At 55.4% G+C, this 13,717-nt stretch overlaps 2 protein-coding genes across 3 annotated transcripts, besides 7 other annotated features; both read left to right on the top strand.

Moving 5' to 3' along the window:
* Nucleotides 375-604: an enhancer, noted in NCBI's record as "active region_12191". NCBI's record gives its function as "activates an Ori minimal core promoter by ATAC-STARR-seq in GM12878 lymphoblastoid cells {active_cell/tissue: GM12878}" and the evidence as "EXISTENCE:reporter gene assay evidence [ECO:0000049][PMID:35858748]".
* On the top strand, nt 517-5,924 carry GHDC (GH3 domain containing). Of its 2 annotated transcripts, none has more exons than NM_032484.5 (10): nt 517-618; nt 1,161-1,244; nt 1,417-1,694; nt 1,984-2,105; nt 2,269-2,770; nt 3,801-3,993; nt 4,108-4,179; nt 4,254-4,387; nt 4,741-4,826; nt 5,090-5,924. In NM_032484.5, the coding sequence occupies exons 3-10, from the start codon at nt 1,430-1,432 to the stop codon at nt 5,306-5,308; spliced, it is 1,593 nt and encodes a 530-aa protein (NP_115873.1). In that variant the 5' UTR covers nt 517-618; nt 1,161-1,244; nt 1,417-1,429; the 3' UTR covers nt 5,309-5,924. The 2 variants fall into 2 exon arrangements, with proteins under 2 accessions (NP_115873.1, NP_001136095.1); NM_001142623.2 differs by having other exon boundaries at nt 4,652-4,826.
* Nucleotides 1,499-2,029: an enhancer, noted in NCBI's record as "H3K4me1 hESC enhancer chr17:40345000-40345530 (GRCh37/hg19 assembly coordinates)". NCBI's record gives its function as "activates a minimal SCP1, AML or CMV promoter by ChIP-STARR-seq in primed H9 embryonic stem cells {active_cell/tissue: H9 hESC(primed)}" and the evidence as "EXISTENCE:reporter gene assay evidence [ECO:0000049][PMID:30033119]".
* On the top strand, nt 9,559-10,951 carry HCRT (hypocretin neuropeptide precursor). Its single transcript, NM_001524.1, has 2 exons — nt 9,559-9,666; nt 10,483-10,951. The coding sequence occupies exons 1-2, from the start codon at nt 9,646-9,648 to the stop codon at nt 10,855-10,857; spliced, it is 396 nt and encodes a 131-aa protein (NP_001515.1). The 5' UTR covers nt 9,559-9,645; the 3' UTR covers nt 10,858-10,951.
* Nucleotides 9,983-10,784: an enhancer, noted in NCBI's record as "H3K27ac-H3K4me1 hESC enhancer chr17:40336245-40337046 (GRCh37/hg19 assembly coordinates)". NCBI's record gives its function as "activates a minimal SCP1, AML or CMV promoter by ChIP-STARR-seq in naive H9 embryonic stem cells {active_cell/tissue: H9 hESC(naive)}" and the evidence as "EXISTENCE:reporter gene assay evidence [ECO:0000049][PMID:30033119]".
* Nucleotides 9,983-10,855: a biological region, named in NCBI's record as "H3K27ac-H3K4me1 hESC enhancer GRCh37_chr17:40336245-40337046".
* Nucleotides 10,636-10,855: a silencer, noted in NCBI's record as "silent region_8518". NCBI's record gives its function as "represses an Ori minimal core promoter by ATAC-STARR-seq in GM12878 lymphoblastoid cells {active_cell/tissue: GM12878}" and the evidence as "EXISTENCE:reporter gene assay evidence [ECO:0000049][PMID:35858748]".
* Nucleotides 11,286-11,345: an enhancer, noted in NCBI's record as "active region_12190". NCBI's record gives its function as "activates an Ori minimal core promoter by ATAC-STARR-seq in GM12878 lymphoblastoid cells {active_cell/tissue: GM12878}" and the evidence as "EXISTENCE:reporter gene assay evidence [ECO:0000049][PMID:35858748]".
* Nucleotides 13,438-13,713: a silencer, noted in NCBI's record as "fragment chr17:40333316-40333591 (GRCh37/hg19 assembly coordinates)". NCBI's record gives its function as "represses an EF-1alpha promoter that drives an FKBP-Casp9 reporter gene in an ReSE screen in phorbol 12-myristate 13-acetate-treated (for megakaryocytic differentiation) K562 erythroleukemia cells {active_cell/tissue: K562(+PMA)}" and the evidence as "EXISTENCE:reporter gene assay evidence [ECO:0000049][PMID:32094911]".

Raw genomic sequence — 13,717 nt, 5'->3', positions numbered from 1 at the left:
GAGTACAATGGCGCAATCTCAGCTCACTGCAACCTCCGCCTCCCAAGTTCAAGTGATTCTTCTGCCTCAGCCTCCCAAGTAGCTGGGATTACAGGCATGTGCCACCACATCTGGCTAATTTTGTATTTTTAGTAGAGATGGGGTTTCACCATGTTGGTCAGGCTGGTGTCAAACTCCTGACCTCAGATGATCCACCCGCCTCAGCCTCCCAAAGTGTTGGGAATACAGGCGTGAGCCACCGCGCCCAGCTGAGTTGGGGTTTTAAGAGTTCTTAAGCTTGCCCCTCTCCCAGCTCAAGTGGCTTAATGGCGTTCTTTCCCACACACACCTTTCTGTTCCTTCACCTGCGCAAGTTTGAGGACCATGCTAGTCTGGTCCTAACTGCCCCAACTGCCAGCCTGGGCTAGCACCCGACATGAAGTCCTGTAGGCGACCTGCCCCTTTAAGAGCACCCCCCTCCTTCAGCTCCTCCCTCAGGCCTGGTGGCCGGATTTCCCAGTTGGGGCCCAGCCTTTTAAAGCCATCGCTCCTTCTTTCTGGCCGGATGTGTGCTGAGACCCAGAGTCACCCAGGGGTCTCCGTCACGTGCCAGGAGTAGGCAGAAGTGGGCTGTGACAGGTGCATGTGGGCATGGACCCCACAGCCTGGGGCTCAGGAGGGACAAGGAGCTGGGACAGGGTGGATCCCGAGAGAAAGCAAAGCCACTCGGGAGTGGGCAAGAGATATCGTTACGCAGCTGCTGTGTGCCCGACCGACCCTGTCCGAAACCCTTCCTGTACCTTCCCTTCCTCTTCCTTCTTTTCTCCCTTTTTTTTCTTTTCTTTTTTTTTTTGACAGGGTCTCACTCTGTTGCCCAAGCTGGGGTGCAGTGGCACGATCTTGGCTCACTGTAGCCTTGACATCCTGGGCTCAAGGGATCCTCCCATCTCAGCCTCCCAAGTAGCTGCGACTATGGGTGTGACACCACGCTGGGCTAGTTTTTCAATTTTTTGTAGAGATGGAGTCTCCCTATGTTGCTCAGGCCGGTTGCAAACTCCTGGGCTCAAGTGATTCTCCTGCCTCAGCCTCCCAAAGTGCTGGGATTACAGATGATAGCCACCTCACCCGGCCCACCCCTACCTTCTGAAAGAGGCATTCTTATTCTTATTCCCATTTTGCAGATCAGGAAACAGAGCTCAGTGCAGCCCACTAAATTGCTCAGGGCCCTACAGCTAACAAGCGGCAGAGGCAGGATCTGCACTCAGGTCAGTGGGACTCCAAAGCTTTGATAGTCTCTCCTTTGCATCACCTGCCCCACAGGGTCCTGCCTTCTTCCCAATTTCATTTTTCCTCGGTTTTCCTGTATGCAGTAGAGCGTGGGAGGAGAAATGGATAATTGCTGCATGCCCCCATATCTCGGTTCCTTCCTCTTCCCAGGAGCTGCTTGGAGATGCTGCTGTGGCCACTGCTGCTGCTGCTGCTGCTGCTGCCAACATTGGCCCTGCTCAGGCAGCAGCGGTCCCAGGATGCCAGGCTGTCCTGGCTTGCTGGCCTCCAGCACCGAGTGGCATGGGGGGCCCTGGTCTGGGCAGCCACCTGGCAGCGGCGGAGGCTGGAGCAGAGCACGCTCCATGTGCACCAGAGCCAGCAGCAGGCCCTGAGGTGGTGTCTACAGGGAGCCCAGCGCCCCCACTGTTCCCTCAGAAGGAGCACAGGTGTGTTTCCCAGGGTCTGGGGAGGTGACCCAAAGAGAAAGAAACCCCACAGGACCGTCAGATTCCAGAGCCTGATGGCCCCCTTACCTCCTCCACTGCCAACGGAGTGGCCTGACCCAGAGACCCAGGACTGGCTTTCTTGTCCAAGATGAATTTCCCATGCTGGGTCCTTACATCCTCTCTACCCCAGGCCTATTCTCGGTTCCTCCCTCAAGGGTCTCACCAGTCTTGCCTGAAACTCTTGGGAAACTGGCTTCCTGAGGCGTTTCTGTTGTCATTGGGGCTATAGACATAAGCACCTTCCGGAATCATCTCCCTCTGACCAAGGCCAGCCAGACCCAGCAGGAAGACAGTGGAGAGCAGCCACTGCCCCCGACCTCAAACCAGGACCTTGGGGAGGCCTCTCTGCAGGTAATCTAGGATGGCCAGAGCCCAGTCCTGGCCACAGCCCAGTCCCACCAGAGACCTCTGACTTGCAGCCAAACCCTCCAGTCATGGTGGGCAAAGAACCCCCAAATGGGGGCTCTGGGTCTGGCTCTGACACCAGACCAACATTCTCTCTTTCCTCCTCCAGGCCACCTTGCTGGGTCTGGCAGCCCTAAACAAGGCCTACCCAGAAGTGCTGGCTCAGGGACGCACTGCCCGTGTGACGCTTACATCCCCTTGGCCCCGACCCCTGCCTTGGCCTGGGAATACCCTGGGCCAGGTGGGCACCCCTGGAACCAAGGACCCTAGGGCCCTGCTGCTGGACGCACTGAGGTCCCCAGGGCTGAGGGCACTGGAGGCTGGGACGGCTGTCGAACTTCTGGATGTTTTCTTGGGCCTGGAGACTGATGGTGAAGAGCTAGCTGGGGCGATAGCTGCCGGGAACCCTGGAGCGCCTCTCCGTGAACGGGCAGCTGAGCTCCGGGAGGCCCTAGAGCAGGGGCCACGGGGACTGGCCCTTCGGCTCTGGCCAAAGCTGCAGGTGGTGGTGACTCTGGATGCAGGAGGCCAGGCCGAGGCTGTGGCTGCCCTCGGGGCCTTGTGGTGCCAAGGACTAGCCTTCTTCTCTCCTGCTTATGCTGCCTCGGGAGGTCAGTGGGACTCAAGGGCAGTGAGGTGGGGGCAACGGTCAGTGGTCACATGACAAGCAGCCATGCATTGGGCCCTACATAATCATCTCATTTAATCCTCCCCAACAAGCTGCATGCTAGGGCCAGCAGCCTCCTTTTACAAGTGAAGAAATTCAGGCTCTCTAGGTTAAGAGTCTTGTAGCTGGGTGCAGTGGCTCACGCCTGTAATCCCAGCACTTTGGGAGGCCAAGGTGGATGGATCGTTGAGGTCAGGAGTTCCAGACCAGCCTGGCCAACATGGCGAAACCCCATCTCTACTAAAAATACAAAAACTAGCGGAGTATGGTGGTGCACGCCTATAATCCCAGCTACCTGGGAGGCTGAGGCGGGAGGATTGCTTAAACCTTGGAGGCAGAAATTATAGTGAGCTGAGATCGCGCCATTGCACTCCAGCCTGGGTGACAGAGCAAGACCCTGTCTCAAAAAAAAAAAAAAAAAAAAAAGGCCGGGGCAGTGGCTCACGGGTGTAATCCCAGCACTTTGGGAGAGGCTGAGGTGGGTGGATCACCTGAAGTTAGGAGTTTAAGACCAGCCTGGCCAATGTGGTGAAACCCTGTCTCTACTAAAAATACAAAAATTAGCCAGGTGTGGTGGCAGGCGCCTGTAATCTCAGCTACTCAGGAGGCTCAGGCAGGAGAATCACTTGAACCCAGGAATCACTGAATCACTGAGCCGAGATCGCACCACTGCACTCCAGCCTAGGTGACAGAGCGAGACTCTGTCTCAAAAAAAAAAAGAGTCTTGCACAAATTCATGTGGCACCAGGATTCACTCCCAAGTCTGCCCCCTCCAGGACCACAGCACTCTGCCTCTTTCCAGTGAGGGCCTAAGAGGCAGCCCGCTGAGGCTGGGGGAGCCAGGAAGGATGTGGTGGAAGGGCAGCAGGAGGATCAGGTGCTCAGAGGATCAGGCCTGGGATCCAGGAGGGGCTATTGCCTGGCAGAAAGCGATGGCACCAGCAGACGCTGAGGAGGCTGCTTTGCTTTCACAGGGGTGCTGGGCCTAAACCTACAGCCAGAGCAGCCCCATGGGCTCTACCTTCTGCCCCCTGGGGCCCCCTTTATCGAGCTGCTCCCAGTCAAGGAAGGCACCCAGGAGGAAGCTGCCTCCACCCTCCTTTTGGCCGAGGCCCAGCAGGGCAAGGAGTATGAGCTGGTGCTGACGGACCGCGCCAGCCTCACCAGGTGATCAGCTGCACAGCCCCTGCTACCTGGGGCCCTATGGGACCGTGCTGGGGGCCTGGGGCATGAGCTCAGAAGACCTTGGGCCCGACCTCACTCCCACTTGCACCCCATCAGGTGCCGCCTGGGTGATGTGGTGCGAGTGGTTGGTGCCTACAATCAGTGTCCAGTCGTCAGGTTCATCTGCAGGTAGGTGACCCCGGGGAGCTGAAGGGCCATCCTTGTGTCCTGGGCTCCACTGCCTCTCCCTTCCTCCTCTTCAGGCTGGACCAGACCCTGAGTGTGCGAGGGGAAGATATTGGTGAAGACCTGTTCTCTGAGGCCCTGGGCCGGGCAGTGGGGCAGTGGGCGGGGGCCAAGCTGCTGGACCATGGCTGTGTGGAGAGCAGCATTCTGGGTGAGCCTCCCCACCGGCTCCTGCCTACCATCCTTGAGCTACCCTTCAACTCCTACCTCCCCTGCCAGGGGACTGCTAGGAAAGAGATAAGCCTCCTTTACTACTCCTACAAAAGTCCTTCTCTGCATCTAACTCTCATCCATCCTGCTGCAGTCTCTACCCATTTTCTTTCCTGATCTGTCTCCTATTTAGGATCAAGCTCTAGGTTCCTCTCCATTTACCCCACTCCCCACCAAGAAACTCTTTTTTCCCTATGAATCTCAGAGTGGGGAAGAACAGATAGGGCAGAGGACACTAGACTTGGCAGCTGCCCATTCACCGGAAGTATGTGTGCACATGGGGTCTATTCACAGATTCCTCTGCGGGCTCTGCTCCCCACTACGAGGTGTTTGTGGCGCTGAGGGGGCTGAGGAATCTGTCAGAGGAAAATCGAGACAAGGTAAAGGAGACGAGGACAGGGTCTGACTGTAGACCCCTTCACTCTGCACACTCCCAGGGTGCCATGGAGATCAGGGCTGATGGGAAGGAGAGGGGTGGCGGAGGAGAAGCTCCCTGGGGCTCTGGGAGGGGAGGGCTAAGTCCCACAGACACACACCTGTCCACACAAAACTTCTAAACACATGTAGCCTGGGCACAGCCACACACGCCTCGTGTGCACACTCACAGTCACACACCAGCTCACTCAGGCTGTTCTGTTCCCAGCTGGACCACTGCCTTCAGGAAGCCTCTCCCCGCTACAAGTCCCTGCGGTTCTGGGGCAGCGTGGGCCCTGCCAGAGTCCACCTGGTGGGGCAGGGAGCCTTCCGAGCACTCCGGGCAGCCCTCGCTGCCTGCCCCTCCTCCCCCTTCCCCCCTGCGATGCCCCGGGTCCTTCGGCACAGGCACCTGGCCCAGTGTCTGCAGGAGAGGGTGGTGTCCTGAGTCAAGTCCTGCCCCACCGCCCAGCTCCCCCCAGAGGCCACCTCGCCCCTCCCTCTGGGACCTCTCCGGATGGGGAGTCCTTGGCCAGGGTCTCTGACTCTGTGTCACCTGACATTTGCCCATGAGAGCCGCTGGGCCTTAGAGAGGCCTTGGCCCAGCTGACCGGTTCTGAAGTATGGGCCTCCGGGGTTAGCAGATGCCAGCAGTGCCTGCCCGTGTCCCCATGTCCCGGCATGAAGGACACTGCTAGAGAGTTACCATGCACACCGATGGTTTCCTGTATCACAGCCCAAAGAGGTTCTCTGGTGGCCACAGCTGTGTGCTCAGTCAGTGCACTGGGCAAGCTAGAAGTGTTGGGGGGTTAATGTCCCCAGGAGCAGCAACCCTGAGTCAATAAGGAGCAGGACCTCAGCTTCATTGTCCTTGAGCAGGACAATTCTGAAGTGTATTCTACATAAACTCTCAGAGGATGCCCAGCAGGATGGAGTCCCAGTTGCCCGCAGCAGTAACCCACTCATTCATGTACTTCCTGCGGGGGCTCTCCCTTCCCTCTCTTCCCCACTCCCCCGCCTTGGGCTTCCTGGGATGGCTCCCAAATAAACCTCTTGCACCCAGATTCTTGCCTCAGGGTCTGCTTTGGGGAAACGGGAGTGGACCCCGGCCCAGCCATTCCCCCACTGAGCTCCAGGACTTTCCCCCAACATTCTGCTCTGGGCCTGGCAAGGCTGCATGCGCACACAGGAGCCTTGGAGGACTCGTGGCACATCCTAGGCCAGCACCCACAAACCACTTCTGCGGTGGGGAAGGGAGAGCTATTACTTCACATCATAAGGCATCGCCGCAGGAAGCAACTCCGGAGACCATCTGGGTTCACTGTTCCATACTAATGAGGAAACGCAGCCTCCACAAGGTTGTAGAGGCTAAAATAAAAGAAAGAAAGAAACTGGGCTAGATTTTGGCTTCCTTCCCTCCCACTGCCTGGACTGGAGTTTTAAGGTTTTCCATCTTGGAGGCTGATGGGAGGGGCAGACCTCAGCTCCTCCTCAGTAGAGGCAGCACTGGATCCAGATGCCTCTGAATAGCTTCTCCATTCCATGTCCCACACCCAGGTCCTGGCTGCATACCCACCCGGCCCCCACCTCCGCCTGTCACTCCATCCTGTTAAAATCTTCCTGTGAAGCTGGGCACAGTGGCATGGGCCTATAGTCCCAGCTACTCAAGAGGCTGCGGTGGAAGGATGGTTCATGCCCAGGAGTTCAAGACCAGCCTGGGCAACACAGCGAGACCATCTCGGGAAAAAAAAACAAAAAAAAAAACCTCCCATGGTGGCCCCCATCGCCCACAGGATTAAGACCAATCAATTTGGCCTATTAGACCCTTTGACCTTGGCCCTCACCTACATGTGCAGCTACCTCTCTCCCCTTGCTTGAAAGAAGGCCTGGACTAAGGACCACGCCTCACCTCCCATCTAAGGGTTGTTAAGCACTGTCAACTCCAGGAGTTTGCTCAAGTTGTCCCTTCTATGTAATGCCCTCTATCCCGCTGCCCCTGATGTAAACTAGCTTTCATGCAAGGCCTTTGAGGACCCCCTACCAGGCCCACCCCAGGCAGAGTGACTGGCTCAGCTTTGCTCATGTGGGCAGTAGTCCTCTCCTTCACTGAACTATCATTATGCCTGAACTGCCTCCCACCTGGAATATGAGTTCCTTGGAAACTGGGCTAGATCCTGTGCACAATTGCCCCCATGCCCAGTGCCTGGTGTGGCATGCAGCAGGAGCTCAATAAAGAGGTTGTAGGCCAGGTGCCATGGCTCATGCCTGTAATCCCAGCACTTTAGGAGGTCGAGGCAGTCAGATCACCTGAGGTCAGGAGTTCAAGACCAGCCTGGCCAACATGGTGAAACTGTGTTTCTACTAAAAATACAAAAAATTAGCTGGGCATGGTGGTGTGCACCTGTAAACCCAGCTACTTGGGAGGCTGAGGCAGGAGAATTGCTTGAACCCAGGAGGCAGAGGTTGCAATGAGCCAATATCGTGCCTTTGCACTCTAGCTTTGGCAACAAGAGTGAAACTCTATCTCCAAAAAAAAAAAAAAAAAAAAAAAAAAAAAAAAAAAAAAAAGAGGTTGTGAATAAGAAGCTTGGGCCTGGAGATGACATGTGTTCTTCAATGCATGGCGGCTCACTCCGTGTTGACTGTAGAGTGGGACTACATTCCTCCCCTCCAGGTAGCCTGAGCCAGGGAGAAAGCTGGGGAGGTAGAAGCTTTCTATCAGCCTCTGGTAGAAACTGAGTTTGGTCAGGCACAGTAGCTCACACCTGTAATCCTAGCAGTTTGGGAAGCTGAAGGGGGAGGATGGCTTGAGCCAGGGATTTGAGACCAGCCTGGGAGTCCCAGTCTCTACAAACAAATTTAAATATTAGCCAGGGATTGTGGCATGCATCTGTGTGGTCCCAGCTACTTGGGTGGCTGAGGTGAGAGCATTGCTTGAGCCGTGGCATTTGATGCTGCAGTGAGCTATGATTGTCCCACTGCACTCCAGCCTGGGTGACAGAGTGAAACCTTCTCAAGAAAGAAAATAAAGAGGGCTGGGCGTGGTAGCTCACGCCTGTAATCCCAGCACTTTGGGAGGCCGAGGCGGGCAGATCACGAGGTCAGGAGATCGAGAACATCCTGGCTAACACAGTGAAACCCCGTCTCTACTAAAAATACAAAAAATTAGCTGGGCGTGGTGGCGGGCACCTGTAGTCCCAGCTGCCAGGAGGCTGAGGCAGGAGAATGGCGTGAACCCGGGAGGCGGAGCTTGCAGTGAGCCGAGATCGCGCCACTGCACTCCAGCCTGGGCGACAGAGTGAGACTGTCTCAAAAAAAAAAAAAAAAAAGAAAGAAAAGAAAAAGAAAAGAAAATGAAGAAAGAGAGAAGGCCAGGCATGGTGGCTCATGCCTGTAATCCCAGCACTTTGGGTGGCTGAGGCAGGCGGATCACCTGAGGTCAGGAGTTCCAGACCAGCCTGACCAACATGGAGAAACCCTGTCTCTACTAAAAATACAAAATTAGCCAGGCATGGTGGCGCATGCCTGTAATCCCAGCTACTCAGAAGGCAGAGGCAGGAGAATTGCTTGAACCCTGGAGGTGGAGGTTGCAGTGAGCTGAGATTGCGCCATTGCACTCCAGCCTGGGCAACAAGAGTGAAACTCCGTCTCAAAAAAAAAAAAAAGAAGAAGAAGAAGAAAGAAAGAAAGAGGGAGAGAGTGAGAGAGAGAAAGAAAGAAAGAAATGCAGGAAGGAAGGAAGAAGGAAAGAAGGAAGGAAGAAAAAAAAAGCGGGGGGGCCTGGTGCAGTGGCCCACGCCTGTAATCCCAACACTTTTGGAGACTGAGGTGGGTGGATCACTTGAGGTCAGGAGTTTGAGACCACCCTGGCTAACATGGTGAAACCCTGTCTCTATTAAAAATACAAAAATTAGCTGGTTGTGGTGGCGTGTGCCTGTAATTCTATTCAGGAGCTATTCAGGAGGTTGAGGCAGGAGAATCGCTTGAACCCAAGGCGGAGGTTGCAGTGAGCCAAGATGACCATACCACTGCACTCCAGCCTGAGCAACAAGACCAAAATTTAGTCACACACACACACACAGAAAAGAAAGAAAGAGAAATTGGGCTTGGTTTTGGCTTCTTACCTCCCACTGTCTAGGCTGAGTTTTCAAGGTTTTCCATCTCAGAGGCTAGTGGAAAGGGCAGAAGGGAGAAAAAAAGCTAGGGGGAGGGGGCAGCTAAGGAGCCTTTCCATGAAGGAAGAAGGTCCTGGAGCCTGACAGTCCCCAGGAGCAGCGACAAGAAGCAGGGGAGGGAGAGGACTGCTGCTGGCTGCTCCACCCCCCACACACATAATGTGGGGTCTCGCGTCTGCCTCTCTCCCGCCCCTAATTAGCAGCTGCCTCCCTCCATATTGTCCCAGGCCAGCGCCTCTTTTGTGCTCCCAGATTCCTGGGTGCAAGGTGGCCTCATTAGTGCCCGGAGACCGCCCCATCTCCAGGGAGCAGATAGACAGACAAGGGGGTGATCAGGGGCACAGTGATCCAACCCTGGCCTCTGAACGCCGCAGCGGCCATTCCTTGGGCCCAGCCTGGAGACGGCCCCCCTGCAGCAGGCTAATCTTAGACTTGCCTTTGTCTGGCCTGGGTGTGGACGCAAGTGCCTGTCAATTCCCCGCCACCTCAGAGCACTATAAACCCCAGACCCCTGGGAGTGGGTCACAATTGACAGCCTCAAGGTTCCTGGCTTTTTGAACCACCACAGACATCTCCTTTCCCGGCTACCCCACCCTGAGCGCCAGACACCATGAACCTTCCTTCCACAAAGGTAAAGATCCAGGGATGGAGGGGTGACTCACCATCCCAGAGAAGCAAAAAGAGTGCTTGCTCAGAGGGCTGGAAGAAAGGCCAAAGGTGTCTCCACTCTTGGTCTTTTCCTGGGTGTGCTCTGAGGCAGGAGCACCTGCCTTGGCTCACATTGGGTTGGGTGCTGTTTTGCTAAGAGCCTGTGTTTGCTGAGCTCTATGTGTCAGGTGCTCCGTTTGCACCTGTCATCTCTTGTCATCCTCCCAACAGCCTTGCAGAGTAGAAATTATTTCTAGTATACCCAGTTTACAGGTAAGGGAGCTGTGCCCTCTGAAAGGGCAGGAAACTGGTTCAAAGCAACGGAGTTCAGTCACTCCTGCAAGGGGGCAGGCAGATGAGAGAGCATTCTGGAGTCTTGCTAGTTCCTGATTTCCATGTGTTTCCCTGCTGTGGAGAGGAAGTTGGGGGGACTCAGTAGGGCCCGGGTTTTTCCCAAGTTTACAACTTCTGCTGCAGACAGACACTCCTGTTTTCAGGTGGAGTGGCAAGTGCCCTAGTGGTGGCACAGTGGCCTAAGTCTCCAGAGAAAAGGGGGATTCACTCTGCCCAGGGGGTCTCAAAAGGCTTCCTGGGGGAGATGCTCTGCTGGGTCTTGAAGGAGGAGCAGGGAAAGTAGGCCGATACCAGCAAGGGCGCAAAGCAAGGAGAACTAAGTGACAGCCAGAAAGGAGTGCAGGCTTGGAGGGGGCGCGGAGCCAGAGGGGCAGGTCCTGGGCGTGGGAGCTGGTGGCGGGCGCCGTGGGAAGACCCCCCCAGCGCCCTGTCTCCGTCTCCCTAGGTCTCCTGGGCCGCCGTGACGCTACTGCTGCTGCTGCTGCTGCTGCCGCCCGCGCTGTTGTCGTCCGGGGCGGCTGCACAGCCCCTGCCCGACTGCTGTCGTCAAAAGACTTGCTCTTGCCGCCTCTACGAGCTGCTGCACGGCGCGGGCAATCACGCGGCCGGCATCCTCACGCTGGGCAAGCGGAGGTCCGGGCCCCCGGGCCTCCAGGGTCGGCTGCAGCGCCTCCTGCAGGCCAGCGGCAACCACGCCGCGGGCATCCTGACCATGGGCCGCCGCGCAGGCGCAGAGCCAGCGCCGCGCCCCTGCCTCGGGCGCCGCTGTTCCGCCCCGGCCGCCGCCTCCGTCGCGCCCGGAGGACAGTCCGGGATCTGAGTCGTTCTTCGGGCCCTGTCCTGGCCCAGGCCTCTGCCCTCTGCCCACCCAGCGTCAGCCCCCAGAAAAAAGGCAATAAAGACGAGTCTCCATTCGTGTGACTGGTCTCTGTTCCTGTGCGGTCGCGTCCTGCCCATCCGGGGTGGCAAAGCGTCTTGCGGAGGACAGCTGGGCCTGGAAGCCCGGCTGTCGGGCACCAGCCTTAGCTTTTGCGTGGTTGAATCGGAAACACTCTTGGTTGGGGAGTTCCCAGTGCAAGGCCCTGGGGCACAGAGAGAACTGCACAGGTGCATGCTTGGATCGGGCCATGCGGGACTCCTACGATGCTCTGCTAGGCATTCTGTAGCGGGGACTTTACCCAGAGACGCGGAAGGGGAAGGAAAGCAAGAAAGGTTGCAGCGGTCGGGCGCGGTGCTCACGCCTGTAATCCCAGCACTTTGGGAGGCCAAAGCAGGAGGATCCCTTGAAGCAAGGAGTTCGAGACGAGCCTAGGCAACATAGTGAGTGAGACATCTCTCCAAAAAGTTTTTTTAATTAGCGGGGTATGGTGGGCGAGAGGATTGCTTGAGCCCAGGAGTTTGAGTTTGAGCCATAATTGGGCCACTGCACTCCAGCCTGGGCAACAGAAGGAGGCACTGTCAAAAAAAAAAAAAAAAGAAAGAAAAAGAAAAAAGAAAAGAAAGAAAGGAAAGAAAGGAAGGAAGGAAGGAAGGAAGGAAGGAAGGAAGGAAGGAAGGAAGGCAGGCAAGCTGCATAGAGCAGCAGAATCCAGCTAGGAAGGGGTGGGAGTCAATCCTGCTGAAAAGGCAGGGAATTTGAACTTCAACAATGAGTCATCCAGAATGGCTGCATCATGGGGTATAGGGTGTGGGGAGTGGAGAGGCTCAGGAAGGGACACAGTTACAGTCAGTGCAGCACAGCTCGCAAAGGCTCTCACAAATCATCGGGCTTTGCACTTTATCTTGTAGGTAACAGAGTCATGGGACATTCTTAAGCAGGGGCAGTACAAGATTTTACTGCAACTCCAGCCAAAGACACCTGTTACTGGTGTTCCCAAAATCCATATGTTGAAGTCCGTACCCGTGGCACTTCAGAATGTGGCTGTATTTGGAAATAAGGTCCTTCCAGATGCAATTAGTTAAGATGAGGTCATACTAGAGTAGGGTGGGCCTCTAATCCACTGTGACTGGCGTCCTTATAAAAAAGGGAATTGGAACACAGAAACACACACAGGGAGAACCCATGTGAACATGAAGGTAGAGATTGGCTCCTACAAGCCAAGGAACACCAAAAATTGCCAGCACCCCCACCCCCAGAAGATAGGGGAGAGGCATGCAACAGATTCTCCCTCATAGCCTTCAGAAGGAACCAACGCTCTTCACCTGACCTTGCTTGGACTTCTAGCATCCAGAACTGTGAGACAATAGGTTTCTGTTGTTTGAGCCACTCACTTTGTGGTACTTTGTTATGGCAGTCCTAGGAAACTAATATAACATCCAAAAGTAGAGACACAGGCTAGGCTCCGTGGCTCATGCCTGTAATCCCAGCACTTTGGGAGGCTGAGGCGGGCGGATCACTTGAGGTCAGGAGTTCAAGACCAGCCTGGCAAACATGGCGAAACCCCATCTCTACTAAAAATACAAAAATTAGCCGGGCATTGTAATGCACGCCTGTGATCCCAGCTACTAAGGAGGCTGAGGCGGGAGAATTGCTTGAACCCAGGAGGCAGAGGTTGCAGTGAGCTGAGGTCATGCCACTGCACTCCAGCCTGGGCAACAGAGCAAGACTCCGTCTCAAAAACAACAAGAACAAGAACAACAAGAACAACAACAACAACAAAAGTAGAGACACAGAAAAATGTGGCACTTCTTAGCAATCTAACATCCCAGATAATACCTAGCTCAGAGGGTGGGGAGAATTTAGCCTGCCCTCCTTGCCCATAGGGTTCCCACTTTCACTGCTTCAGCTGTTTTGTCGTGGGAAGCAGCCACCCTCAGCCACAGAACTCAGCTGCCTCAATTTTCTGCATAGGTAGTGAGAAAGTCCTGTGTCTAGTCTCACTTTGGTCCCTCTTGCTGCTGTACTGGTTCCATCTTGGAGAAGTTAGAGGTCAAAGTTCACATGTGCATCCTTGGAGATTTGCAAGCCATGACTCTGCCCACCTCGAAACTATCTTTTTCAGAGGTAGTTTCTCCCAAACTTGCCTCCAGCCTCTCTTCCACTTGAAGGGCAGCAGAGAGGAGGATTAAGACAGTAGGAAGAGGGAAAACAGGCAGGCAACTGCCCTTCAAGACACTTATTTTGTACCAAAGACATGCATTATGGTATTACATTCTCACGGTAACTGCATCAGGTAAGAATTATCAGCTCCATTTTACAGATGAGGAAAGTGGGCTTGGAGAGGATATCACACGATTGGTGTCTAGAGCTGGGACTCTACCTGGTGGACTCCAAAGCTCTTTTCATTCCACCATGCTGTGTCTCAGTAGGCAGAGTTCGCCAGGGTGTCTTGGGAAAACTGAGGCAGGAGGTAAGAATGGTGCTTTCTAGAGTTGGGGTTTCAAGCCTTCCCATTGTCCATTCTCTACCAGCAAACTAGCCTCTTAACCCTTGCTGTCTCACGCTGGAGCTACTGGCCTGTGGGTGCTGCGAAATATGTCAACTCCAGTAGGCGGCACTGTGAACCAGACACCAGCCCAGCGTGGACGCCGCGCGGGAAAACCCGCGAGGTGGAGCCACAAGGAGCAGCCAGGGAACCACGTGTGGAGGCGTGGCCAGCCTGGAAGAGGGCGGGTCTGTTATTCAAGCCCCGCCCATCATTTCAGGCCTCCCCTCCCGGTGGGCGTGCCCCGAATTCTCT

This window comes from Homo sapiens, chromosome 17 (assembly GCF_000001405.40).
Source record: "Homo sapiens chromosome 17, GRCh38.p14 Primary Assembly".
Taxonomy (NCBI): domain Eukaryota; kingdom Metazoa; phylum Chordata; class Mammalia; order Primates; family Hominidae; genus Homo; species Homo sapiens.
The sequence above is the reverse complement of the archived record's forward strand: the minus strand, read 5'-3'. Positions and strand labels throughout refer to the sequence as shown.